The following is a 27,933-nucleotide window of genomic DNA, read 5'->3' as shown; positions in this document are numbered from 1 at the left end:
TCAGTTGTTTTTAAGCCACCAAGTTTGTAGTGATTTGTCATGGCAGCCACAAGGAATGAGTCCACTGTGTAAATATGTGAAGAAGGTGCAAGAGCCTGGTGCAGCCTGCTGCTGCCTCCACCCCTGGTGCACACGAGACTGGGCTGAGGTAAATCCAGGAGCCACCAGAAGAGGGGCACAGCCTCAGCTCCTGAATAGACAATGTCTTCACAGAACAAGCCAGTCTCTCCCCTGGCATGCAAATGGGGCCTGGGGAGGGACCCCCAATGGTGCTGGGTTTGGCCGGTGTGGCTGAGCCACAGCCATGAGAACTGAGCCATGTGCTCAGGACACGGGATCTGTTAGGGCTGGGCAAAGGGGGATGCTTTTGACTTTTCTATTTGACTTTTGTTTGGATTGCACTGAAATTTTTGTTTGTGAGGGACTGGATCTATTTGCTGAGTGAAGAATCACTTGCATTTTCAAAGACCAGGGTTTTCTACACTTTGGTCATTCCATCTTCAAAATGTCAAATGGACATAGCACCAACTGCCTTTTAAAAGGAATTTTAGCGTCAGATGCAGTGAGTCATGCCAGTTATCCTAGATCTTTGGGAAGCTGAGGCAGGAGGATTGCTTGAGGCCAGGAGTTCAAGACCAGCCTGGGCAACATGGTGAAACTCCATCTCTACAAAAAGTTAAAAAATTAGTCCAGCATGATGGCATGCGCCTGTGGTCCCAGCTACTCAGGAGGCTGAGGCAAGAGGATCACTTGAGTCCGGGAGTTCAAGGCTGCAGTGAGCCATGATTGCACCACTGCACTCCAGCCTGGGTGACAGAATAAGACTTTGTCACACACACACACACACACACACACACACACACACACACAGAATAAAAAAGAGTTTTGTGGTCAGGCATGGTGGCACATGCCTGTAATCCCAGCATTTTGGGAGGCTGAGGTAGGAGGGTCACTTGAGCCCAGGAATTCAAGACCAGCCAGGGCAATGTGGTGAGAACCCCATCTCTACAAAAAATAATTTAAAAATTAGCTGGACATGGTGACACATACTTGGAGCCCCAGTTTCTGGGAGGCTGAGACTGGAAGACTGCTTGAGCCCAGGGCTTTGAGATTGCACTGAGCTAGGACTGTGCCACTGTACTCCAGTATGGATGACAGAGTGAGATCGTGTCTCAAAAATAAATACATATTTTTTTATTAATTTATTATTTATCAAAAATAAATATACATAAATAAATGGAGTGTTATTATACTCTTCAAAATTGAAAGCCAGAATCATCTGCCAAAAATAAAAAGTAAAAATAAAAAGTATTTGCCTGGTTATTATAACATTTATATTAATATATCAGGGAATGCCTTGGCCAGGGCAAAGCTGCCTGGTAAACAGGGGCAGGATCAATGTTACTCTGATAGCTGAGAGAGTTTTTATGACTAGAACTATTTTGAAAACTGCTGGGAAAGCTGGCTTAAGTCCAAATATGGAAGAAATTTCTATTGTAAACTTCATTGTACTGCTGTATTGTACTGCTGTGAGGATTCTCCTACCACCACAGACCCACCTGTTTGGCACAACATTCTGTAGACAGAAAGTTCTAGAATGAGATATGTTGAACAGGCTTTTAAATACGAAGTGCCACACACATTTAAAAGAACAGATGGTGGCATTTCAGCTCTGAGAAAATTAACAGTGTGGACATCTGCCATTTGTATGACCTTGCCCAAGTGTCACTTTATCACCTCTGATATTAACTGGTGATGTGTCTTTTCCTGAGTGGAGAAAATAAATGAGACTACTAAGCTAAGAAGAGATCTTTTCATTCTCTACTGGTCAGAGGAGAAATCTGGAAACCCAGCCAAAGAATACAGTCTAACCTTTGTTCAGACACTAGCATGAAGGAGAGAGAAAAGGGCTGTGGGATAATGAGATACTTGTGTCTTCAACTTGCAGTGGCCGTTGGAATGCGACACTCCACAGCATACAACAAGCCCTTCTAATACGCTAAGGCTGGAGACAGACAAGTGTGTCTAGTTAGATCTAATATTGCTTTTCCTGGCGCTTAAGGTGAAGGCCCCTACACAGATGTGGTCCCAATATGGAGATGGAAGTATGAGGGCCTAGCTTGCCCAGGAAGTCACCCAGACTGTAGGCATTAACGTGCAAGAGTTTTGCCACCCTGGAAAGCAACAGTAGGGTTGTGTGTGTGTTTTCTACTACCATCTCTTGCTCTGGCCTGCTGCCATTTACAGTAGTTGTGGGCTAAAAAAAATGCAAACTGTTCTCTATAATAATACTCCCAAGTTTATGTAAACAACAATTCCAATACAAAACAACTCAGATAAGCATATAAAGACCAGGAACATAACATTTCTCATAAGGAAAGACTGGGGCCCACCCTGCCCCAGAATGACCTCATCTTAACTAACTACATCTTCAACGACCCTGTTTCCATATAAGATCACATTCTGAGGTACTGGGGGTTAGGACTTCAACATATGAATTTGGGTGGGACATAATTCCACCCATAACATACCCCTAAGCCTGAGAGGAGATGGAAAAGAAGGTGTTGTGGAGCCTACTTGAGCCCTGAAGCCCAGCAACAGCTGTCGTCAGAGACCGCCACAGCTGTGCCAGCACCACACCAAAGCAGGCAGAGGCTGGCGAAATAAATACAACTCTAACCTGTCTCTCATCCCACTCTCCAGGCACCAAACCCAATCAGGACAGAGGACAAGGGAACCAGCTGATACCATTTGGGGAAGTCACAGAGAAGGGAGGAGAATGGATACGGTGGGTGCGTGCATGCGTGCGTGTGTGTGTGTGTGTATTTACAGGGGCAATTAGAGAAAACATTCCAATCTCTTTATTTGAATCAAGAGATCCAAATGGATTTGGGATAGAAATTGGTATATTTTGGAAATCAGAGTATTTAGATAAACCAAGAGAGAAAATCAAGATGTACATTCTTTTCCAGGAAAGCTACCTATAAGAAAATTCCTTCTCCCAAATTTCTAACAAATGCAATGAAGGCCTCCCAAGAAAACATCACCCTTGGGGTGCACATAAAGAAAAGCTCTTCCTTAGAGCCCCCTCAAATGACCTGGTCATGTACCTCTCCTCCTGAAACCTAAGACACCCTGGACATCCCCTTTGCTTCATACCCAGTTCAACCCCATGCCTCCATCTCTATTCTTGCCACCTTGGTTCAGGACCTCCTCACTTCTCCCCTGGGCCCAGTCTTCCAGCCTCAGCACCACCGCATCCATCCTTCACACTGTGGGCTGCAGAATAAAACTCAGACTCCCCAGCATGGCCAGCGAGGCTCCTTGTGATTTGGTCCCCACCCACAGTTCAGGCCTCAATTCCCTCTCATCCCCTCCCCACCCTGCCCTCTGGTTCTCCAATAAAAAGAATCCACTCTGTCAGGAAAAATCGTGGAAGACTTTGAAGTGTGAAATTGAAAAGATTCCTGGGTGTCCGGTCCAATGCTCCCTACTAGGCTGTCTTCAATTTCCCTTGTTCCGTGCTATTTTATATTTTATTACTAGAAGTTATAAATTAGTGAAAGTGATGCAAATGATTTTTGGCCTTAAATGTGTAAATGCATCCCTCAAGATGCAGTAAATTATTGCCCTGTAGATATGGACCACTTTTGCATCTATTTTAAATTCTGTTCAGCATTTCTGATCACCTATATATGAGCGTTCTTTGGATTTTTCTTTGAACTATTTCTAACATCTTACTTGTTTTCTCATGAATTGAGTTAAATAAAATATTTGATACACAATTTATAATTCTATGAAAAATCACAATTTTATCCTTAAAAATTTTTCCTCTTCTATCAGTTCCTATAGTTCCCAGATTGGGCCATGCTCTTTCCTGCATCTTTGCCTTTGTAAAAGCTGTTGTCACTGTCCAGAAGTTTCTTTCAGATCTTTTTGCATCTGGTGAACTCCTAACCACCCTTCAATGTTTAGCTAAAGGTTGCCTTCTCTGCAAATCCCTCCTCAATTTCTCCATGAAGTTAGATACTCAAGTTGGAAGGGATTTTGTACATGCCTGTATTTCCATGCTTAGCATCCTGTGTCAATATCTATTTTTCCCACTAGACTTGGAACACCTGCAGATAGGGACTATATTCTCCTCTATTACTCCTAGCACAGAGTAGGCACTTAACAATATTACTGAATAGTCATTCAGTACCTTTTCTTGGGCTTTCTTTTAATTCTCACAATGACCTAATGAGGTTGGTCATATTCGTATCTCCCTTTTACAGATGCAGAAACCAAGCTTCGAGAAAGTGGAGTGACTTGCCCAAAGTCACACAGCTTTGGGAGGATCTGAACCCAGTTGGTGTGTCTCCAGACCGAACTATCTTAACTGCAATATTATACTGTTTGTTAATTCAGCAAATCCATGGCCCTCAGCCCTCTTTAAGTGATACCTAAACAGACAACTAAGGGTAAACTTTTGGGTTGTGTTTTTCATCGAAGGATAACATATCTTACCAGGCTGGGACAATAAAGAGCAAATGATTGTTAATATCATAATTTCTGTCTCCCCAGAAATTAGCCAGTATGTATCAACCAAACAGAATTGGCTAGCCAAACAATTTCCTCATTATTACCATACAATGCAGCTTAAATTAAAACTATAGTTTCTCGCTCACAAAATGGACAATAGTACTTGGCACATGTAGGTTGCTTAGCAAACACCTGTCCATGGATGTGTCATACAAGAGTGCTCACAATACAGGCTGCCAGTTGCCCTGTGGAGCGGCCAGGGAAGGCCTGCCCTAGTTTCACCCACCCCATCCATCTCCCTGGGCACACCTGCTCCTGCCATCGGCACTCCTACTATCATGGCTGCATCTGGGGTTTGGAGTTCACAGAAACCTCTTAAAAAGGCACCCAATTGCTCAACTTTGCTAAGCAGATGAAGAGTGAAATAAATGTTGCTTCACCAGCTGGGTAAGTGTCCAGCCTCCTGAGGGGTATCTGGGGACCATCTGACTTCCTGCCACTCACAGGGTGGAAATAAACAGAGCATATTGCCATAATAAGGGACATGAGGAGCAGGGTTGGGCTGGGCTTTGATAACTGGAGCGGTGTGATTAGGGTAGCTTTGATGTTGATAAGCTGTTTCGACGGCCTTTCATCCTAGTGCCCCTGCCCTTGGAGTATTGGGCTCCAGTAAGCCAATGTAATCATTACCCAGGCCTCCAGTGCAAAAGCCAGGCTCACAGAGAGCAGGCTGGCATGGCAGCCTGCTTGGGGAGGCTTGGGGAGCAGTGAGACGAGGCCAGCTGCAGATGCATTTCCTCCCCATGCCAGGAAAGGTTTTAATTCAAAAACAAATGTATTTATCACTTCCAACCACTCCGCAGGGCAGGGCATCCTGCCTCGGGTGGAGCGTCAGTGTGCAGTGGGAACAGTGGCAGGCGGCCAACGGAAACTTCACGTTTCACGAAGGTTTCTGCCACTTCGCAGTTGTTATAAAGGCCAGCATCACATCAGTGGAGACAGTCCAGCCTCCCAGCCAGCCCTAAAGACACAGGCACCAGGAAAGGACCAGGCTCTCCAAGCCCCGGCCAGGCAACTTTGGCCCCAGTGGGCTGGATGGTGGGATGCAATGAACCATCCAACTTGGTGACTAAGGCTCTTTCTAACCATGGAGTGTGGACAAAGGGAAAGTCTGTCATCAGCAGACAAAGGGTAAGTTGTCTGTGAATCCCAATGACACGTGCCCCATAGGCTACCTGTTTAAGGAGCTAGAAGGTTATTCCACTCTAAGAAGCTCACCTTTGCCTGGTGGTCCAAGGGACTTGCTGGACATTTTCCAGAGAGGAGGAAGGAACTGCAGACAGGTGTGGTTTTCCAGCTCACCTGGCCCCAGACTGTTGAGTATTCCTTCCCCTCCCATTTAGGCTTCAGCTCTGCTGGAGTCCTTTCAAAAACAGACTGGATCTTGTCACCCGCCAACTGAAAAGTCTCCTGGAAGAAGCCCACATCCATAGGGATGCCGTTCCAGGTTCTTCCCAGCTCTTCCAGCCCCTATCTGTCCAGTCTCATCCCTCAACACTTTATGCACAGGCCCACAACTCCCCAAGCAAGCCCTGTGCTTTCATACCACCTCGGGTAGCCTTCCCCACTGTGTCTACCTTCTTCTGCTCACATTTCAGGGCCCAGCTGAAATGTTACCTCCTAGGTGAAGACTCTCCTGCCCTTTCTCCCCCATCCACATGGAATTTGAATGTCTTCCTCCCTTGGGTTTGCAGAGCTTGCTGTGCATAACTTTCCTAAAACATTGAACCACACCATAGCCAACTTATTTCATTCTATGTTAGTCTCTCTGACCTGATTATTAGCTCAGTGGAGTAAGGGCTCCCCTTTAACTCATCTGTCTATTCTCAGTGACTAGTATAGGCCCTGGCACATAGTAAGTGCTCAATAAATGGGAAGAATAAATGAACAATCGTCTAAAAACTTCCCCTTCCTTGGAGAATCTCCTCTTCTTAGGTAGAAGTAATGCAGCTGTGAGCCTTCCAGGGCCAAAGAACATTCATCTGTGGGAAACTGCTCTGGACAAAATCTGCCCTCCCACCTTCCCCCAGAGAAACCCCAAGGCAAAGAAGGCAATGTGAAAACTAACCATTTCCAGACAAGTGAACTCTCAGATGCTAACAATTTTCCTGTGTGTTAAGAGCAAAGCCAAACCACACAAAGAAGTGAAACTTCTGAACATCCCACACCCAGGCATTTAGTTTATTACTCGGTTGGAATTTCGGTGACTATAGCCATGTGAGTAAAGATGCTCCCTGCAAGAACAGAAAGATTCTGGTGGTTCTCTGATGTATAATCTTTGGCCTTTATCTTCTGGATGCATTGCACCCTACAAGATGATAAAATAGTACAATATCCTTGCTTTAGGACCCGGGCTGTACCATCCCTATAGAATTCTGAACCTTAAATGTCATCCCTGTTACTCCTTTTGGATTCTTTTGCTTCAAAAGGATGATGATGATGAAGATGATGATGGTGATGATGATGATGGTAATCCTTTTTAAGAGCATTGTTATTGCAAATCACACCTCCTCTGTCAATAAAATAGGCTAAAATCTGGATATTCCAGATTTTAATGAAATCAAATTAATTTAAAATTAATTTGAATTTGAAATTAATTTTAATATCTTATTTAACCTAAGATATTCAAAATATTAATATATTTGGAATATTCCAAAGATTCCAACTTTCATAAAGATAGAATTCATCTCATTGGTAAGAACTGCTCTAACTCATCAGTTCTACCCTTGGAAAAAGGGGCAAAAATTTAAACACTTTTCCCCACCCTCAGCACTGCTGAGCATTTCTTCCCCAACTCGGTTGCCCAGGCCAGGTGGAAAGGAAACCAAATATCCATTCATCTCTAACAACTCCAATCCCATTTCCAGGAAAAGGAGGTCATAGCTTGCCCCAGCAGAAAGAAACAGAGTCCCCCATCTGCACGGCCTGGCCCCTCCCACCCCTCCAGCCTATTTCTCCCCACTTCCCCCACACTCCACTACAGCCATGCTGAACTGCTTAAAGCTCCCCAAACACACTGCGCCCCACTGCCTCCTACACTCCTCACCATCTCATTCTTCACTTCACTCCTACTCATCATCTGAAGTAGATATCATCTCCTCCCGGAAGCCTTTCCCTAGCTGCCAAAGCTCAGTTAAGGCCCTTTCAAACTGCTCCTAGCTCACCCTCTCCTTCCCCGTCCCAACAGTAATCACACTGCTTCACGACCATCAAGGACTTATCTTTCTCACCCTCTAGACAAGTATGGTCTAATAGTAATATAGTGCCAGCCATCTATTAATTTTGAATTTTCTGGTAGTCTCATTAAAGAAGAAAAAAACAGATGAAATTATTATTATTATTATTATTATTTGAGATGGAGTTTGCTCTTGTTGCCCAGGCTGGAGTGCAATGGCGCGACCTCGGCTCACTGCAACCTCCGCCTGCCTGGTTCAAGGGATTCTCCTGCCTCAGCTTCCCGAGTAGCTGGGATTACAGGCATGCGCCACCACACCTGGCTAATTTTGTATTTTTAGTAGAGACAGGGTTTCTCCATGTTGGTCAGGCTGCTCTCGAACTCCCAACCTCAGGTGATCTGCCTACCTCGGCCTCCCAAAGTGCTGGGATTACAGGTGTGAGCCACCATACCTGGCCTGAAATTAATTTTAATAATATATTTTATTTAATCTAGTATAGCCAAAATATTATTTCAACATGTAATATAAAACAATTGCTCATGAGATATTATACATGCTTTTTCCCCCTACTAGGTCCTCATTATCCAGTGTGTATTTTACCTTTACTGAACATCTCCATTTGGACTAAGCATATTAGAAGTGCTCCATAGTTACATGTGGCTGGTGGCTACCATATTGCAAAACAAGGGCTGAGATGAAATTTCCTGAAGTCAGGGCATGGGCTCAACCTCTCACACTAGTGTATCTTGTACCTTGCTTGGCACAAGAGCAACAATGCGAACAGCATCTATGAATGACTTCATCCCCCAAGGGAGGGAGGTATATAAGCACTGACCTGTGGCCCAGAACAGTGGGTGCCTGCAACATAAGCTGTAAGCACTATGGTTTCAGCTAAAATTTCACTGATCCAGCAAAACTCTCTAAATAAAAGAAAGATGGCTGGGCATGGGCTGATCACATTCATATTTCTTTATTTTTTAAATATTTTTTATTTTTTAGAAACAGGGTCTTGCTCTGTCATCCAGGCTGGAGTGCAATGGTGCAATCTCAGCTCAATGCAACCTCCACCTCCCAGGCTCAAGCAATCCTTGGCCTCAGCCTCCCGAGTAGCTGAGATTACAGGCATGCACCACCATATGTGGCTAATTTTTGTATTTTTTGTAGAGATGGCATTTTTTGCCCAGGTTGATCTCTAACTCCTGGGCTCAAGGGCTCTGCCCTCCTCAACCTCTCAAAGTGCTGGAATTATAGGCATGAAAGCCTGGCCCCACATTCATATTTCAAGCATTACTCAAAATGGCATAAATAACCAGTTCAGCAAAGCAAACTGGACATTTGGAATTCAGCAAAATGTAACTTAACTTTCATATAGGCTGGAAACCAAATGAAAATGCAGCATCTCCAGGCAATTTCCTTAAAATGGATCAACTTGAAACATTCTCTATCACAGGACCAGTAGACAGGAGAGGAGCCAAAGAAGGAAGGGTGAGTGTGGAATTATGAGTCGTACTACTCTCTGTTTCAAGATTCCTAGAGTTTTTATCCTGAAAGCTGTTACTTTTTTTTTTTTTTTTTTTTTTTGAGACAAGAGTCTCCCTCTGTCATCCAGGCTGGAGTGCAGTGGCGTGATGTTGGCTCACTGCAACCTCTGCCTGCCAGGTTCAAGCAATTCTCCTGCCTCAGCCTTCTGAGTAGCTAGGATTGCAAGCACATACCACCATACCCGGCTAATTTTTGTATTTTTAGTAGAGACGGGGTTTCACCATGTTGGCCAGCATGGTCTCAATCTCTTGACCTCGTGATCTGCCCGCCTTGGCCTCCCAAAGTGCTGGGATTACACGCGTGAGCCACCATGCATGGCCAAAAGCTGTTACTTTTAAAGGTGTTTCTTAGAAATAGCAAAGCAGTAGAGCCAGGAAAAACAATTACATCAGCCACAAACTCCAGAGAAGCAACCTCCAGGAAATGCCTCAAGGACATGTGAGGAGCGGACACTGCAGAGCTCAGGGAATGGATGGATGGCTTTTTCTCAGTCCAGTCAGATAGTTCTAGATTCCCAGATGGACAGATCTCAAGGAATTTTTTTTTTTTTTTTTTTAGATGGAGTCTTGCTGTGTCACCCAGGCTGGAGTGCAGTGGTGCGATCTCAGCTCACTGCAACCTCCACCTCCTTGATTCTCCTGCCTCAGCCTCCTGAGTAGTTGAGACTACAGGCACCCGCCACCATGCCTGGTTAATTTTTGTATTTTTAGTAGAGACGGGGTTTCACCATGTTGGCCAGGATGGTCTTGAACTCCTGACCTCAGGTGATCCACCCGCCTCAGCCTCCCAAAGTGCTGGGATTACAGGCTGAGCCACCATGCCCAGCCCCAAGGACTTCTGATGGAACAGTTGCTACACCAGCAGTTCTTAAGCTTTAGTGGGCACTAGAAGCACCTAGGGGGCTGGTTAAAAATCCAGATTGCTGGACCTCACCATTCAAAGAGTCTGATCGAGTTGGTCTGAGGTGAGTCCCAGGAATATGCGTTCTTACCCGTCAAGTATCTTAGGTGATTCTAATAGGGAGTTCCACAGTTTAAAAATAAACAACCCTAAACGATGGTAGTTATAATCTGCTACCCATAATCAGTTCACTTTTCTCTCACCTTTCCTTTCTAAATGCCCCCAGAGCTATGATACCCTGTAGGCCACAGGTATGGTTGTGCAGTTGATGTGCTATATAATGGCTACCAACTGAAAAGGCAAGTGGGAGCCGGGATCTAGGTGCCTGGCGACATGGGGCTGTGTTTACCCAGAGTGATGAGCCTTCTTTCTTTGGACAGAGGTGCTTCCAACTTGCAAGCCTTGTGCTCTAGGGGTCCTTTTAGCCCAGAGGGCTGCTTTTTTTCTGATTTAATCAAAGACGCTATATAGGTTAGTAGCAGCCCTGAACCTGCTGTTTGACTCCTTGGCCACCTTATCTTCCCCAGACCTCAACAGCGAGCACCCTCTACCAATCCTTGCTCCAGAAATGGGTTTAGTGGCTCATCATTTTCCTTATCCATCAGCCAGTCAACCACCATCAGGTCTTCCTGATCACCTAGGATGCTCCCGGCCACGGTCAGCCCCTGGGTGGTTCGGTCCTCCCTGGGCAAGCCTGGTCATTGCCTCTGTGTGAATGAGTGAGCCATTGCCTCCCTGAGTCTGTTTCCTGGAAAGTCTCAGCCTCGCTGATTTCATGTACTCATCGCAGGTTTCTACTGGGCCTGATTATTATTTAAAGGGAAAGACGGCTCCAAGGGAATAGCTCATGAACAAGTCTCTAGGTTAAGAGGCTCACCAAGGGGGCAGACTGCTGAGTGGGATAGATGCTGAAGTGACTGACTCTATTTTCACAGATTCCCTTTTCTTTCTCTTCTCCCTGGCTTTTTCAATTTTCTGAACTGGATGAATACTTCATGACAGACTGTGCGTGTCGGAGCAGACAAAGAATTAATAAAAGGGTCACTGAACCTGCTCTGAATCTCAGATGCATCCTTCGTGAAGTGAAAAAAGATTCCCCTGAGCTGCTAAGAGCAAGGAAACACAATCCGGGCTGAGCTGGAAACTCTAGATCTGCTACAACCTGGTTAATTGCTACTGGGCAGAGAGGCAAAGAATAGATAAAAATTTGCAGCTGTAAAAAAAAAAAAAGAAATCTGAAAGGGATAGAGCAGCTTAGTAAAAAGAAAGCTGGAATCTGAAGCCACCTCCATTCATTCATGGAACACCTATGAGGCGCCTATTCCCATAGTGTCACAAGCACTGACTGTCGTAGGTCCAGGGAGACACAGGTCCCTCAAAGAGCTTACTCCTAGAGTAGCAGGTTTATATTTGTAATTATAAACAAATAACTACAGTAAAATGTGGCAAGTGGCAAGAAAGAGAAAGGCACAAAGCACTATGGGTGCACCCAGGGCAGGAAGGTCCTGGCGGGTGATGGGCAGCTCCCTGGGGGCAGCATGGGGAACAGCAGAGGGAACAGCATATGTGAAGGCCGAGGGGCCAATCATCTTGACCTGGAAGGTGAATCACAAGCATTCCTACCTCGCTGAAGCACAGTGTGAAGGAAGGGAGAGGCGAGAGACAGGGCTTGGAAGGCAGGCTGAAGCCAGTTGTAAGGGACCTCTGAATCATGTGCAGAAGTATCTGGGATTTCTCCATGAGGAATCATCGAAGCCTTCTTCAAGTAAGGGAGTAACTGAGATCAAACCTGTGGTTTAAACAAAACAAAACAAAACAAACCTGTCATTTTTCGTTTGCTTTCCTTTTGTTTATTTAAATAAACTAGTTTTGAAAAGCAGTTTGTGAACATAGTAACAACATTAAACACTCTCCAAATGGGGTATGGAGATAAGCCTCCTTTCCACCTCCTACTACCAAGCTCCCTGTCTTCCCTTCCTAGAAGCAGTCTTTCTTTCTAGTTTTACATATATCCAACCAGAAGCATCATAGGCAGGCATATATATTTATACACAAATGACCACAGCATACTATTGTGCAGGTTGCATACTGCATGAGGCCACCAGTCAAGGAGACTAGAGGAGGTTAAAATCCATTGCACACTTGCTTGCCACTGGCATGGTGCTACATATACCAGAGAGGACATTTTTCCTAATTTGTTCAAAGGTACTACACGTGGCTGGGCATGGTGGCTCAAGCCTGTAATCCCAGCATTTTGGGAAGCCGAGGCAGACGGATCACCTGAGGTCAGAAGTTCAAGACCAGCCTGGCCAACATGGTGAAACCCCATCTCTACTAAAAATACAAAAATAAGCTGGGTGTGGTGATGGGTGCCTATAGTCCCAGGTACTTGGAAGCCTGAGACAAGAGAATCGCTTGAACCCGGGAGGTGGAGGTTGCAGTTAGCCGAGATCGCACCACTGCACTCCAGCCTGGGGGACAGAGTGAGCAAGACTCTGTCTCAAAAAAAGAAAAGAAAAAAAAAAAACAAAACAGAAAACAAAGGTACTACATAGGCTAGCTGAAGCCATTTATATACATCACACACATGCACGTGTACGCATAGGCACTCACCCATTTTCACAGCTTTTTATTTATATAAAAGAGAATATATTCTATATTCATAGTATAATACCTTTATTTTATAAAGTATCATGGAAATCATTCACATGAACACAAGAAGATCCACCTAATTTTCTTTCACGGCCACTTGGCTTTTTTTTTTTTTTTTTTTTTTTTTAGCACGTAGGGTCTTTATTGTGAAAGACAACTCACTTCTCACCAGTTAAAACCAAAACCAAAAGGGAATTCACCAAATGTCAGCATGCCACCCAGCTTGACATCAGCAGGCTATGCTTCCATGAGTATCTCCATCTTCAGGCCTCCCAGAAGCTCCAGGATTTACCCATGTGGCTAAAACTATTTCATATCCATTCTGATTCATTCTACTTAGACAACATGTCATTATATATGAAACAGTTACTGTGGCCAGGGAAATATGATGGATTGAGTGAGTGGCTTCCACCAGTTGGTGTCCACCCCCGGAGATAAGAGTGGGGTCAACACCAGTCAACACTTAGGAGGGGCATGAGGGAATGAATACTAGGGTAGCAACCAGTAGATGGCCTTTACAAATTCCATTATCCAACTCCCAAGTTGGATAGCTCCTACCAATGGTCCTTTACCTTGTTCCCAATATTTTGTCATTATAAACAATGCTGTAATGAACATCCTTACACGTACATCTTTTCAGGTACAAGAATATCTGTAAAATAATTTCCTAGAAGTGGAACTTTGAGTCAAAGGGTGACCATACTTGTACCTTTGATAGACATTACTACATTGCCTTTCGAAGAGGCTGCGCTAATTCATTCCCGCAACATCTATGAGATTGCTTGCTTCTACACATCATTGGCTGTGTGTCGTCAACTTTCTTAGACCTGTACTTTCAAAGTTCAATTTAACAATAGTGTGGCTGATGGATAGGAAAGGGAATGAGAATGGAGGTAAGAAAAGTAGCCATGTAATTACAATAATGAAAGAGACGATAAGAACCTGAACTAAGGTAGCTGCCATGCGTTGAAAAGTAGAGGCAGAATCAAGACACGCATGTTCTCAGCACAATGTTGCAATGGAAAAGAGAGCTATTTTTCTGAAAATTTTGCACTGAAAAGGCTTCATTTTGATTTTTTTTAAATAAAAGGAAGACAAAGAAAAGATTCTTTTTTTTTCTTTTATTTTTTTTTATTTTTTTTTTATTTATTTTTTTTTTATTTTTATTTTTATTATTTTTTTTTTTTAATTTTTTTTTTTTTATTATACTCTAAGTTTTAGGGTACATGTGCACATTGTGCAGGTTAGTTACATATGTATACATGTGCCATGCTGGTGCGCTGCACCCACTAACTCGTCATCTAGCCTTAGGTATATCTCCCAATGCTATCCCTCCCCCCTCCCCCGACCCCACCACAGTCCCCAGAGTGTGATATTCCCCTTCCTGTGTCCATGTGATCTCATTGTTCAATTCCCACCTATGAGTGAGAATATGCGGTGTTTGGTTTTTTGTTCTTGCGATAGTTTACTGAGAATGATGGTTTCCAATTTCATCCATGTCCCTACAAAGGACATGAACTCATCATTTTTTATGGCTGCATAGTATTCCATGGTGTATATGTGCCACATTTTCTTAATCCAGTCTATCATTGTTGGACATTTGGGTTGGTTCCAAGTCTTTCTATTGTGAATAGTGCCGCAATAAACATACGTGTGCATGTGTCTTTATAGCAGCATGATTTATAGTCCTTTGGGTATATACCCAGTAATGGGATGGCTGGGTCAAATGGTATTTCTAGTTCTAGATCCCTGAGGAATCGCCACACTGACTTCCACAATGGTTGAACTAGTTTACAGTCCCACCAACAGTGTAAAAGTGTTCCTATTTCTCCACATCCTCTCCAGCACCTGTTGTTTCCTGACTTTTTAATGATTGCCATTCTAACTGGTGTGAGATGATATCTCATAGTGGTTTTGATTTGCATTTCTCTGATGGCCAGTGATGATGAGCATTTCTTCATGTGTTTTTTGGCTGCATAAATGTCTTCTTTTGAGAAGTGTCTGTTCATGTCCTTCGCCCACTTTTTGATGGGGTTGTTTGTTTTTTTCTTGTAAATTTGTTTGAGTTAATTGTAGATTCTGGATATTAGCCCTTTGTCAGATGAGTAGGTTGCAAAAATTTTCTCCCATGTTGTAGGTTGCCTGTTCACTCTGATGGTAGTTTCTTTTGCTGTGCAGAAGCTCTTGAGTTTAATTAGATCCCATTTGTCAATTTTGGCTTTTGTTGCCATTGCTTTTGGTGTTTTGGACATGAAGTCCTTGCCCACGCCTATGTCCTGAATGGTAATGCCTAGGTTTTCTTCTAGGGTTTTTATGGTTTGAGGTCTAACGTTTAAATCTTTAATCCATCTTGAATTGATTTTTGTATAAGGTGTAAGGAAGGGATCCAGTTTCAGCTTTCTACATATGGCTAGCCAGTTTTCCCAGCACCATTTATTAAATAGGGAATCCTTTCCCCATTGCTTGTTTTTCTCAGGTTTGTCAAAGATCAGATAGTTGTAGATATGCGGCATTATTTCTGAGGGCTCTGTTCTGTTCCATTGATCTATATCTCTGTTTTGGTACCAGTACCATGCTGTTTTGGTTACTGTAGCCTTGTAGTATAGTTTGAAGTCAGGTAGTGTGATGCCTCCAGCTTTGTTCTTTTGGCTTAGGATTGACTTGGCGATGCGGGCTCTTTTTTGGTTCCATATGAACTTTAAAGTAGTTTTTTCCAATTCTGTGAAGAAAGTCATTGGTAGCTTGATGGGGATGGCATTGAATCTGTAAATTACCTTGGGCAGTATGGCCATTTTCACGATATTGATTCTTCCTACCCATGAGCATGGAATGTTCTTCCATTTGTTTGTGTCCTCTTTTATTTCCTTGAGCAGTGGTTTGTAGTTCTCCTTGAAGAGGTCCTGCACATCCCTTGTAAGTTGGATTCCTAGGTATTTTATTCTCTTTGAAGCAATTGTGAATGGGAGTTCACTCATGATTTGGCTCTCTGTTTGTCTGTTGTTGGTGTATAAGACTGCTTGTGATTTTTGTACATTGATTTTGTATCCTGAGACTTTGCTGAAGTTGCTTATCAGCTTAAGGAGATTTTGGGCTGAGACAATGGGGTTTTCTAGATAAACAATCATGTCGTCTGCAAACAGGGACAATTTGACTTCCTCTTTTCCTAATTGAATACCCTTTATTTCCTTCTCCTGCCTGATTGCCCTGGCCAGAACTTCCAACACTATGTTGAATAGGAGCGGTGAGAGAGGGCATCCCTGTCTTGTGCCAGTTTTCAAAGGGAATGCTTCCAGTTTTTGCCCATTCAGTATGATATTGGCTGTGGGTTTGTCATAGATAGCTCTTATTATTTTGAAATACGTCCCATCAATACCTAATTTATTGAGAGTTTTTAGCATGAAGGGTTGTTGAATTTTGTCAAAGGCTTTTTCTGCATCTATTGAGATAATCATGTGGTTTTTGTCTTTGGCTCTGTTTATATGCTGGATTACATTTATTGATTTGCGTATATTGAACCAGCCTTGCATCCCAGGGATGAAGCCCACTTGATCATGGTGGATAAGCTTTTTGATGTGCTGCTGGATTCGGTTTGCCAGTATTTTATTGAGGATTTTTGCATCAATGTTCATCAAGTATATTGGTCTAAAATTCTCTTTTTTGGTTGTGTCTCTGCCCGGCTTTGGTATCAGAATGATGCTGGCCTCATAAAATGAGTTAGGGAGGATTCCCTCTTTTTCTATTGATTGGAATAGTTTCAGAAGGAATGGTACCAGTTCCTCCTTGTACCTCTGGTAGAATTCGGCTGTGAATCCATCTGGTCCTGGACTCTTTTTGGTTGGTAAACTATTGATTATTGCCACAATTTCAGAGCCTGTTATTGGTCTATTCAGAGATTCAACTTCTTCCTGGTTTAGTCTTGGGAGAGTGTATGTGTCGAGGAATGTATCCATTTCTTCTAGATTTTCTAGTTTATTTGCTTAGAGGTGTTTGTAGTATTCTCTGATGGTAGTTTGTATTTCTGTGGGATCGGTGGTGATATCCCCTTTATCATTTTTTATTGTGTCTATTTGATTCTTCTCTCTTTTCTTCTTTATTAGTCTTGCTAGCGGTCTATCAATTTTGTTGATCTTTTCAAAAAACCAGCTCCTGGATTCATTGATTTTTTGAAGGGTTTTTTGTGTCTCTATTTCCTTCAGTTCTGCTCTGATTTTAGTTATTTCTTGCCTTCTGCTAGCTTTTGAATGTGTTTGCTCTTGCTTTTCTAGTTCTTTTAATTGTGATGTTAGGGTGTCAATTTTGGATCTTTCCTGCTTTCTCTTGTAGGCATTTAGTGCTATAAATTTCCCTCTACACACTGCTTTGAATGCGTCCCAGAGATTCTGGTATGTGGTGTCTTTGTTCTCGTTGGTTTCAAAGAACATCTTTATTTCTGCCTTCATTTCGTTATGTACCCAGTAGTCATTCAGGAGCAGGTTGTTCAGTTTCCATGTAGTTGAGCGGCTTTGAGTGAGATTCTTAATCCTGAGTTCTAGTTTGATTGCACTGTGGTCTGAGAGATAGTTTGTTATAATTTCTGTTCTTTTACATTTGCTGAGGAGAGCTTTACTTCCAACTATGTGGTCAATTTTGGAATAGGTGTGGTGTGGTGCTGAAAAAAATGTATATTCTGTTGATTTGGGGTGGAGAGTTCTGTAGATGTCTATTAGGTCTGCTTGGTGCAGAGCTGAGTTCAATTCCTGGGTATCCTTGTTGACTTTCTGTCTCGTTGATCTGTCTAATGTTGACAGTGGGGTGTTAAAGTCTCCCATTATTAATGTGTGGGAGTCTAAGTCTCTTTGTTGGTCACTCAGGACTTGCTTTATGAATCTGGGTGCTCCTGTATTGGGTGCATAAATATTTAGGATAGTTAGCTCCTCTTGTTGAATTGATCCCTTTACCATTATGTAATGGCCTTCTTTGTCTCTTTTGATCTTTGTTGGTTTAAAGTCTGTTTTATCAGAGACTAGGATTGCAACCCCTGCCTTTTTTTGTTTTCCATTGGCTTGGTAGATCTTCCTCCATCCTTTTATTTTGAGCCTATGTGTGTCTCTGCACGTGAGATGGGTTTCCTGAATACAGCACACTGATGGGTCTTGACTCTTTATCCAACTTGCCAGTCTGTGTCTTTTAATTGGAGCATTTAGTCCATTTATATTTAAAGTTAATATTGTTATGTGTGAATTTGATCCTGTCATTATGATGTTAGCTGGTGATTTTGCTCGTTAGTTGATGCAGTTTCTTCCTAGTCTCGATGGTCTTTACATTTTGGCATGATTTTGCAGCGGCTGGTACCGGTTGTTCCTTTCCATGTTTAGCGCTTCCTTCAGGAGCTCTTTTAGGGCAGGCCTGGTGGTGACAAAATCTCTCAGCATTTGCTTGTCTATAAAGTATTTTATTTCTCCTTCACTTATGAAGCTTAGTTTGGCTGGATATGAAATTCTGGGTTGAAAATTCTTTTCTTTAAGAATGTTGAATATTGGCCCCCACTCTCTTCTGGCTTGTAGGGTTTCTGCCGAGAGATCCGCTGTTAGTCTGATGGGCTTTCCTTTGAGGGTAACCCGACCTTTCTCTCTGGCTGCCCTTAACATTTTTTCCTTCATTTCAACTTTGGTGAATCTGACAATTATGTGTCTTGGAGTTGCTCTTCTCGAGGAGTATCTTTGTGGCGTTCTCTGTATTTCCTGAATCTGAACGTTGGCCTGCCTTGCTAGATTGGGGAAGTTCTCCTGGATAATATCCTGCAGAGTGTTTTCCAACTTGGTTCCATTCTCCACATCACTTTCAGGTACACCAATCAGACGTAGATTTGGTCTTTTCACATAGTCCCATATTTCTTGGAGGCTTTGCTCGTTTCTTTTTATTCTTTTTTCTCTAAACTTCCCTTCTCGCTTCATTTCATTCATTTCATCTTCCATTGCTGATACCCTTTCTTCCAGTTGATCGCATCGGCTCCTGAGGCTTCTGCATTCTTCACGTAGTTCTCGAGCCTTGGTTTTCAGCTCCATCAACTCCTTTAAGCACTTCTCTGTATTGGTTATTCTAGTTATACATTCTTCTAAATTTTTTTCAAAGTTTTCGACTTCTTTGCCTTTGGTTTGAATGTCCTCCCGTAGCTCAGAGTAATTTGATCGTCTGAAGCCTTCTTCTCTCAGCTCGTCAAAATCATTCTCCATCCAGCTTTGTTCTGTTGCTGGTGAGGAACTGCGTTCCTTTGGAGGAGGAGAGGCGCTCTGCGTTTTAGAGTTTCCAGTTTTTCTGTTCTGTTTTTTCCCCATCTTTGTGGTTTTATCTACTTTTTGTCTTTGATGATGGTGATGTACAGATGGGTTTTCGGTGTAGATGTCCTTTCTGGTTGTTAGTTTTCCTTCTAACAGACAGGACCCTCAGGTGCAGGTCTGTTGGAATACCCTGCCGTGTGAGGTGTCAGTGTGCCCCTGCTGGGGGGTGCCTCCCAGTTAGGCTGCTCGGGGGTCAGGTGTCAGGGACCCACTTGAGGAGGCAGTCTGCCCGTTCTCAGATCTCCAGCTGCGTGCTGGGAGAACCACTGCTCTCTTCAAAGCTGTCAGACAGGGACACTTAAGTCTGCAGAGGTTACTGCTGTCTTTTTGTTTGTCTGTGCCCTGCCCCCAGAGGTGGAGCCTACAGAGGCAGGCAGGCCTCCTTGAGCTGTGGTGGGCTCCACCCAGTTCGAGCTTCCCGGCTGCTTTGTTTACCTAAGCAAGCCTGGGCAATGGCGGGCGCCCCTCCCCCAGCCTCGCTGCCGCCTTGCAGTTTGATCTCAGACTGCTGTGCTAGCAATCAGCGAGACTCCGTGGGCGTAGGACCCTCTGAGCCAGGTGCGGGATATAGTCTCGTGGTGCGCCGTTTCTTAAGCCGGTCTGAAAAGCGCAATATTCGGGTGGGAGTGACCCGATTTTCCAGGTGCGTCCGTCACCCCTTTCTTTGACTCGGAAAGGGAACTCCCTGACCCCTTGCGCTTCCCAGGTGAGGCAATGCCTCGCCCTGCTTCGGCTCGCGCACGGTGCGTGCACACACTGACCTGCGCCCACTGTCTGGCACTCCCTAGTGAGATGAACCCGGTACCTCAGATGGAAATGCAGAAATCACCCGTCTTCTGCGTCGCTCACGCTGGGAGCTGTAGTCCGGAGCTGTTCCTATTCGGCCATCTTGGCTCCTCGCGACAAAGAAAAGATTCTGCTGCCGGGTGCGGTGGCTCAAGCCTGTAATCCCAGCACTTTGGGAGGCCGAGGTGGGCAGATCACAAGGTCAGGAGATGGAGACCATCCTGGTTAACATGGTGAAACCCCATCTCTACTAAAAATACAAAAAAATTAGCCAGGCTTGGTGGCGGGCGCCTGTAGTCCCAGCTACTTAGGAGGCTGAGGCAGGAGAATGGTGTGAACCTGGGAGGCGGAGATTGCAGTGAGCCAAGATCGCGCCACTGCACTCCAGCCTGGGCAACAGAGCAAGACTCCGTCTCAAAAAAAAAAAAAGATTCTGCTAAAAAGACTTTTGCAGTTGGAAATAGAATTCTACTAAACATGCAAAGACCTTAACACAGATCCTACACAAAGAAATTGAGTTAAACATGCTCAGATCTCAAAAAGAAACCTAGAAATGGAATAATGTGTTATCAGAGCACACATTAAATGTGTTCTTAGAAGCACACTTTGTAAATTCTAAACAGTCCACAGTGTAGGAGAATGTGGCAATAATGGTCTTATTAAAGCAGAATCAAGCACTGGACCCAAGGACCACTGTTCAACTGGTGAAAAATCCTTCCTCTTTGGATTCTTCCCCTTGGATCCTATAGACCAGAGTATTCTCAGTTCTGACACCAACTTTGCCATGTACACTGTAGGCATCATAGCAAATCCTAGCTAAAATAGTGTTATATCCATTACTGGCACATTTCTCTCATTTCAAAATGATATTCCTGATTATTTATAAAATCTTCTGGTGAAGATTTCTACAGTATACCTTATAAGGTATGTATAGGATGCACCCTGCTACTGAGCTACCTAAATCCCTCCACATTGTTCACATTTCTCGGAATGGCTGTAAACTGTTTCTCCACTGGCTGTAATGACAAAGGGAAAGAAGTATTTCTTCTTCCCAATCTCATGACATTGTAACAAGCTCCCAATCTTTTCTCATTATCTGCACCAACCATTCCAAGATCCTTCTTTCCTATAAATTCTTAAAGGAGAAAACAAAAAGGAGAACATTTTTTAAATAGCTACAAAGGAGAAAAAAATCAAACATATTAATATTTCTGGGAGGTTTAATGTTCCCGTGGGAAGAAGGTCAGATAAACAAGGTGGGTGGAGTGGGAGGTGAGGCCCAGAGTAGAACAGTCCAGGCCACGTTATGTCGCCTCTGGTGGAAGCCCTTGAAGGAGGCAGCAAGAGGGTTGCAGACCTGAAAATCAGAGCTAGAGAAGTTTATCAGGCACCCTGAAGCCATCTGGGCACCAGCAGAACCCACACTCTCGGAACACTGCTGCATGCTGAGCCCAGCCAATTGCAGCCCAGCCTGCACCACAACCACCTGCCCTCTGCTCGGCACAGCTCTCCAGCAAAGGGTCTGGGCAGAAGGCTTTGCACTTGTGGTGTGTGCAATGCTTATTTCTTCAACCAGAAAAGTCTTTCTGAGCTTTGTTGAGGGCATCAGATCTCCCTCCGTCGCGCTTATTTTTCAATATAAATGTATAAATGGTGCTTCTATAACAGGATGCCAAGAAGCCCAGAGTCCAGAGAATCTCCTGGGCCCTAAAACCCGGGCTGGCCCAGGCCCTTCAGTTTAGCCTTGAGTCCTGGGTCCAGTCGTGTGCACTGATTGATCAAGGGCCAGTAGTCCATGGTGAAAGAAGGATCTCAAGGCAGAGTTAAGCTCTCCCTCAGAGACCTTGCTACAGCCACACTTAAAACCAGCTCTAGGCAGCTGTGTCCCTGGAGATCCTCTCCCTGGCCGGGCACTACATCCCATTCCATTTCTGTCCTGCCATTCTTTGAGGCCAGGGGAAGACCTGCCTCTCTATAAAGCCTCTCTTGACCACCCCCACGGGAGGCTCTCACTTCTATCGCCCTTCAATCGCTGCGACTGTTACTGTGGACACTGTCTCCTCAGCAAGAGCGTGAGGCACTCAGCTCCTTGGTCTCTTCTCGCATGAAGCATGCTGCTGACATGTGGGAGACACCAGGGCTGTTGAATCAAGAGAGACCGTGTTGTTCCATCCTCCCCTAGACACCACAGTCCAATTCCCGAAAGGACCCAATGTTTCCTGTAGCTGATCACAGGTAGCTGAGTGCCCAGAGGATGGTAAAATAATTTCCATTAAGTATGGACTTCCAGTAAGGATGGACTTACTGCAGTCCATATGGGGTCAAACTCTGAATATGAGCAAGTCTTGCTTCCTTAGTCTCCCTCCCTCCTTTCACCCTCAGCCTTGTTCATGCCTACCGACCTCATCACCAGCATCACCAAGACCTCACAGCCATGAGGTCCCTGAAGTCTGCCCTTTGTTCTGGGAAAGTGGCATAAAATTTTTTTTTTTTTTTTTTGAGACGAAGTCTTGCCTTGTCACCCAAGCTGGAGTGCAGTGGCGTGATCTCAGCTCACTGCAATCTCTGCCTCCGGGGTTCAAGCAATTCTCCTGCCTCAGCCTCCTGAGCTGAGATTACAGGCACTCTCCATCATGCCCGGCTAATTTTTGTATTTTTAGTAGAAACGGGGTTTTACGACGTTGGCCAGGCTGGTCTCAAACTCCTGATCTCAGGCGATCCACCCACCTCGGCCTCCCAAAGTGCTGGGATTACAGGTGTAAGCCACCACGCCCAGCCAATTCTTTTTTCCAAGTAAAGCCCTCATTAGAAAAACAAACGTCTCGCCTGCTCATATTATAACATTTCACAGCATAATTTTGGTATATTTTTATGCTTTTAAAACCTCTTCCCACCAAGGATGAAGAAGAGGTGGAGCAAAGTGAGTGAAGAGATGGATATTTCTGTTACAAACAGGCAAGTTAATGCCTCTCAGAAACGACTGAAGGGGCCTGAAAGGCCTGGAAGAGTAAATGGACCTCCCTAAAGGTACCAGGTCTCCCAGAAGGCAGTGGCCATAGGCCAGCCACTCACAAGGGCCTGGCACTATACAACTGGCCCTGAGCCCATGCAGGGCAGGAACCGGAGGGATCCTCTCCCCCTCGGTATCAAGGTAGGAGCCAATTTGTAGGCAGCCACTTGGGCTCCATTGGGCCACTGAGTACCTTGTCTCACCCATATGTTTTCCCTTTCCTTACAAAGCTGTTTCCTCAGAGGGTTCAGTGAGGAAACTCCTGAATAAACAGAGAGCATGCTGTTGGCCCAAGTTCTCTGAGGTGCACCCCAGGGACACAACCCTGGGCTGAGCCTACTTCCAGGCCTCTTGCCAGCCCTCCTGCCAGTCACAACTGTTGTTTCCATGAAGTAGCTTCTTTCATCTCCACTTACTTCACCCTCTGAAGGAAAAGCTTATGTCTCCAAACAGCAAGGCAGAAGAAATCTCTGAGGCAGATGTCTACCAAAGGTGCTGCAGCCCTCTGCCCTCTCTTCCAGAAGGCCCTCCCCAGCGACAGAACAATGGCTCCAATCATGCCAGGGAGCTCCACAGGCCTCCAGGCTGCCTTCCTTTCAGTGTCTGTTTAGTTCAAGGGCCTCGTCTTGTGTGAGGGGTGTGGGGTGGGCAAAAAGCTGCTGACATGAAAGGCCACAGAGGCACAGACATGGCTGTTATCTCTATTTTACAGATGGTAAAGCTAAGGCTCAGAGATCATATAGCTGAGAATGGACAGAACCAGAAGTCCAGCCCATGTTTGTCTGATTTGAAATCCCAGATCTTAACCATGACCCTCTGTCCATGGTGGACCGTTTGGATACATGGGGCCAGTGCCACAAACCAGGTTCATCGTGTGGACAGGAAGGGCCCTGCCAAACTCAAGGATTGGCTCAAGAAATAAATGGGCTGCACCTCAGAAAGGGGGCCAGGGAAAGTGGGTTTTGGTGGCAGCAGATGACCCCATTCTTTGCCAATATTATCATTGCTGTTTTGCTCTTGAGTTTCAGAAATTCAAGAAATAGTAGACAATGTCTACCACTTGCTGGTGCAATCTTGAGCAATTTACCTACTCTCTGCATGCCTCATTTTTCCTCATCTGTAAAATGGAAATATTAAGAGCCCCTATCTCATAGGGTGGTTGTGAGGATCAAGTGAGTTAATATGTGCAAACACCCAGAACAGTGCCTGGCACTTGGTAAGCACTGTATATTGCTGATGAGATCACCACCATCCCCATCTTCATCCACATTACCATCACCTTGGTCTAACACCTCCCTCATATCTCTCCAGGCATTATCAAGCCCTCTTGCTTATTGCTCCCAGAGCTGTTAATGACACCTTTAATAGAGTCCTCATCACTTTGTATCGATGCACTGAATATGAGAAGGATCATAATTTTCCATCTCTGTATCTCCAGTGCCTTCTACAGTGCCTAGCATATAGTCGGTATGCAATAAATGTGTCGAGTACATGCAACATGGTACTTAATTCTAAAAATATGGCTTTCAGACAAGTCACAAAGCCTATTTTTTTTTTCTTTTTGAGACAGGGTCTCACTCTGTCGCACAGGCTAGAGTACAGTGGCACGATCATAGCTCACTGCAGCCTCAAAGTCCTGGGCTCAATCTATCATCTCGCCTCAGCTCCCTGAGCAGCTGGGACTATAGGAGCATACCACCACACCCACGTTTTTCTTTTTCTTTTTTTAAATAGAGATGAGTTCTCCCTATGGTGCCCAGACTGGTCTTGAACTCCTGGGCTCAAGCTTCGGCCTCCCAAAATTGTGAGCCACCACATTTTGCCAAGGTCATCTGATTTTTATAAGATTTAAAAATATGTCTCCCCAGACATACAGATAAGAAGTACACACGATAATATGTGACAATAAAATTGAAAGGGTTTGAAATTGTCAAGTAGGCCAGGCGTGGTGGTTCATACCTGTAATCCCAGCACTTGGGAGGCCAAAGCAGGAGATCACTTGAGCCCAGGAGTTTGAAATTAGCATGGGAAACATGCTAATTTTTGTATGTTTAGAAACCCTGTTTCTACAAAAAAAAAATTTAAAATTAGCAGGGCATGGTGGTGTGTACCTATAGCCTCAGATACTTGGGAGGCTGAGGTGGGAGGATCTGTTTGAGCCCAGGAGTTCAAGGCTGCAGTGAGCCAGGATCAGGCTACGGCACTCTAGCTTGGGCCACAGAGCAAGACTCTATCTCAAAAATAAATAAACAAATAAATAAGTAAAAATAAATAATAAATTGTGAAGTGTTGAAGACGTAAGAAATTTCCATTGTGATAATCATTGTATCAAATAATACTAACAAACCCCATCTGAGGTCCTGATGACCTAGAGATCCTCTCCCTCTTCAGCATTTAAAGACTCAGAAGTAGATATGGTTCCTGAGAAATAGCCCCATGAATGTTGCCCTAAATAAAACACTTTTCCAGGCTGGAGGCAGTGGCTCATGCCTATAATCCCAGCACTTTGGGAGGCCAAGGCAGGTGGATCGCTTGAGTTCAGGAGTTTGAGACCAGCCTGGGAAACGTGGCAAAACCCTGTCTCTACAAAAAATACAAAAATTAGCCAGGCATGGTAGGAGGATACTTGAGCCCGAAAAGTTGAGGCTGCCATGAACTATGACTGCGCCACTGCACTCCAGTTTAGGCAACAGAGTGACACACTGTCTCAAAAGAAAAAGGAAAACAGCCAGGCACGCAGTGGCTCACGCCTGTAATCCCAGCACTTTGGAAGGCTGAGGCAGGCGGATCACGAGGTCAGGAGATCGAGACCATCCTGGCTAACATGGTGAAACCCCCTCTCTACTAAAAATACAAAAAATTAGCTGGGCGCCGTGGTGGGCGCCTGTGGTCCCAGCTACTCGGGAGGCTGAGGCAGGAGAATGGCGTGAACCTGGGAGGTGGAGCTTGCAGTGAGCCAAGATCACGCCACTGCACTCCAGCCTGGTGACAGAGTGAGACTCTGTCTCAAAAAAAAAAAGGAAAGAAAAAGGAAAGCAACTTTTCTAAGGAATCACCATCATTTGGAATGTTTTAAAATGAGCTTTTCAAAGACAGACTCCACAAATCGATTCATGAACTATTAATTGAGCACCTATGTGTGCCAGGCACAGGATCTACAAATATGAGTTAACATCAGGTGCCTACTTCTAAGGACTCTGCTCTCTAGTAAGGGAAACAGACACCTGATCCAATCATTCTTATACAATATGGAGGGTGATAAATAAAGACATACCCACTGTGTTCAGACTGCAGAGGAGGGACCCAATTCGGAGGTCTGTGGATTTTGAAATGGAAGTAGAGATTGGCCTAGGACAAAGGGTGCATGTTGAAGTTCTTTTCTGGGCAGCTATGGTTCAGAGACACCCAGGATTCCTAAGCACACTGCTGCACATTCTAAGAAGGCACAACTATTGCTATTGCAAGCCATGTTTAAGAGGCCAGCAAGAGGAAGCCTCCTCCTGGGCGTGCACTGGAGCTGCTGGCCTGGGGCGCGTACTCCATCCCAATACCCAGGACATAGGTATCTTTGCTCAAACAAAGCCCGTGCTGTTCCCGGCTGCCACAGGCTTCCCAGCAGCCCCAAAGCCCTCCCCACTGGGTCTATAAATAATAATTGAATGTCGTCCACCTCACCTTGAAAATGCTCACCACTACCCATGCCCTGAGGGAGGAGCATTATCCTGTTGTTTCTGATGATTTCCTTCCTTCAAGCCCAGGCCTGTGCACCCGCTGGTCATTATGGATGTGTGTCTGGTTTTCAAGAGGATGGCTACTCTTTGTATTTAGATCATTATTTTTAAATAAATGAGGTGCTGTGGCAAGTGAAACAATAGTGTCTGTTCTGAATGATAACCCTTCGTTCACCTTGTGTGGCTGGGTATTCCACACTAGGAAGAAATGTGAGGGGACCCATAAAGGGAGCCCTAAGGTTTTGAGCCAAGAGTCACTTCCCTTTTAAGGAAAGACTCTTTCAGTTCGCATGGCTGCTGGGATATGTTTTCCTCTCAGGGCTAGCTGCAGATCCCTATGCAGGTGGGACTTTTTGGAGGTAGCTCCTGTGATAAACTCTCTTCAGGGAATTAATGCATTGTCCCAAATCAGGCTCCTCTGTTTTCAGCTAATCCCCGCAAGTAACCTTCACCTTCTGCCTTGGAGGCCTGAGGGGCTTGAAAGGCCACTCACTCCCTCATCTCCCCCAGCACTTGGCACTGCAGGTCCCAGGAAGGAACTCCAGGAAGAGGCTGGGCTGGGGAAGAGGAGGAAGAGAAGGAAGGCTTGGCAGATCTCTCTGGCACTGGGCCAAACACACTAGATGCAGAGAGTAATAAGCCTCTTTTGTAAATGATGTAGAGCCCAGAAAGAAATTCTGCAGCCTCGAGGTGCTTGTTGAAGTGGAACAGGCAGAGGAAGGAAATACCAGGAGGCAGTAGCTGATAAAATGTAGCTCTGTGGAAGAGTCACCAGATTTGTCAAATGGAAAAAGTGAGAACTTCTAAAAAAAAAAATAGAATTGCAGCTGGGTGTGATGGCTCACGCCTGTAATCTCAGCACTTTGGGAGGATTGGTTGAGGCCAGGCATTCAAGACCAGCCTGGGCAACATAGTGAGATCCTGTCTGTAAAAAATTACAAATAAAAAATTAGCAGGATGTAGTGGTGCACACCTATAGTCCCAGCTACTCAGGAGGCCAAGACAGAAGGATCACTTGAGGCCAGGAGTCTGAGGCTGCAGTGAGCTCTGATCACATCACTGTACTCCAGCCTGTGTGACAGTGCAAGACTCTCTCTTAAAAAAAAAAAATTGTTCTACAATTTTGAACATTTGACCGCACAGGTATTAGTGATTGTTGTAAATAATGGAATTTTAAAATAATAACAACATATTGATTTCTCTCTCATTGTAACATATTTACCATAAAAGTTTCAAAA

General features: G+C 44.6%; 2 long non-coding RNA genes across 8 annotated transcripts in view, besides 2 other annotated features; one reads left to right on the top strand and one right to left on the bottom strand.

Annotated features, from left to right (window-relative positions):
* The window catches only part of LOC107985960 (uncharacterized), a 119,748-nt gene that overhangs the window by 34,836 nt on the left and 56,979 nt on the right, over window positions 1-27,933 (bottom strand). For 5 of the 6 annotated variants that reach the window (XR_001739773.3, XR_001739775.3, XR_007087297.1 and 2 more), the window contains one exon: window positions 11,823-11,988. This is a non-coding gene — a long non-coding RNA (uncharacterized LOC107985960). Of the gene's footprint in view, window positions 1-11,822; window positions 11,989-26,639; window positions 27,465-27,933 lie in introns of those variants that run through there. The other variant, XR_001739778.1, reaches the window with a different exon arrangement.
* Window positions 4,756-12,078, top strand: LOC105373742 (uncharacterized). Of its 2 annotated transcripts, XR_923581.3 has the most exons (4): window positions 4,760-4,968; window positions 5,488-5,712; window positions 9,130-9,242; window positions 11,202-12,078. It is a non-coding gene; the product is annotated as an uncharacterized LOC105373742 (long non-coding RNA). The 2 variants fall into 2 exon arrangements; XR_923583.3 differs by lacking the exon at window positions 5,488-5,712 and having other exon boundaries at window positions 4,756-4,968.
* Window positions 19,168-19,811: an enhancer, noted in NCBI's record as "NANOG-H3K27ac-H3K4me1 hESC enhancer chr2:173180255-173180898 (GRCh37/hg19 assembly coordinates)". NCBI's record gives its function as "activates a minimal SCP1, AML or CMV promoter by ChIP-STARR-seq in naive H9 embryonic stem cells {active_cell/tissue: H9 hESC(naive)}" and the evidence as "EXISTENCE:reporter gene assay evidence [ECO:0000049][PMID:30033119]".
* Window positions 19,812-20,456: an enhancer, noted in NCBI's record as "NANOG-H3K27ac-H3K4me1 hESC enhancer chr2:173179610-173180254 (GRCh37/hg19 assembly coordinates)". NCBI's record gives its function as "activates a minimal SCP1, AML or CMV promoter by ChIP-STARR-seq in naive H9 embryonic stem cells {active_cell/tissue: H9 hESC(naive)}" and the evidence as "EXISTENCE:reporter gene assay evidence [ECO:0000049][PMID:30033119]".

The sequence above is a fragment of the Homo sapiens genome, chromosome 2 (genome assembly GCF_000001405.40).
Source record: "Homo sapiens chromosome 2, GRCh38.p14 Primary Assembly".
In the NCBI taxonomy this organism is placed as follows: Eukaryota; Metazoa; Chordata; class Mammalia; order Primates; family Hominidae; genus Homo; species Homo sapiens.
The sequence above is the reverse complement of the archived record's forward strand: the minus strand, read 5'-3'. Positions and strand labels throughout refer to the sequence as shown.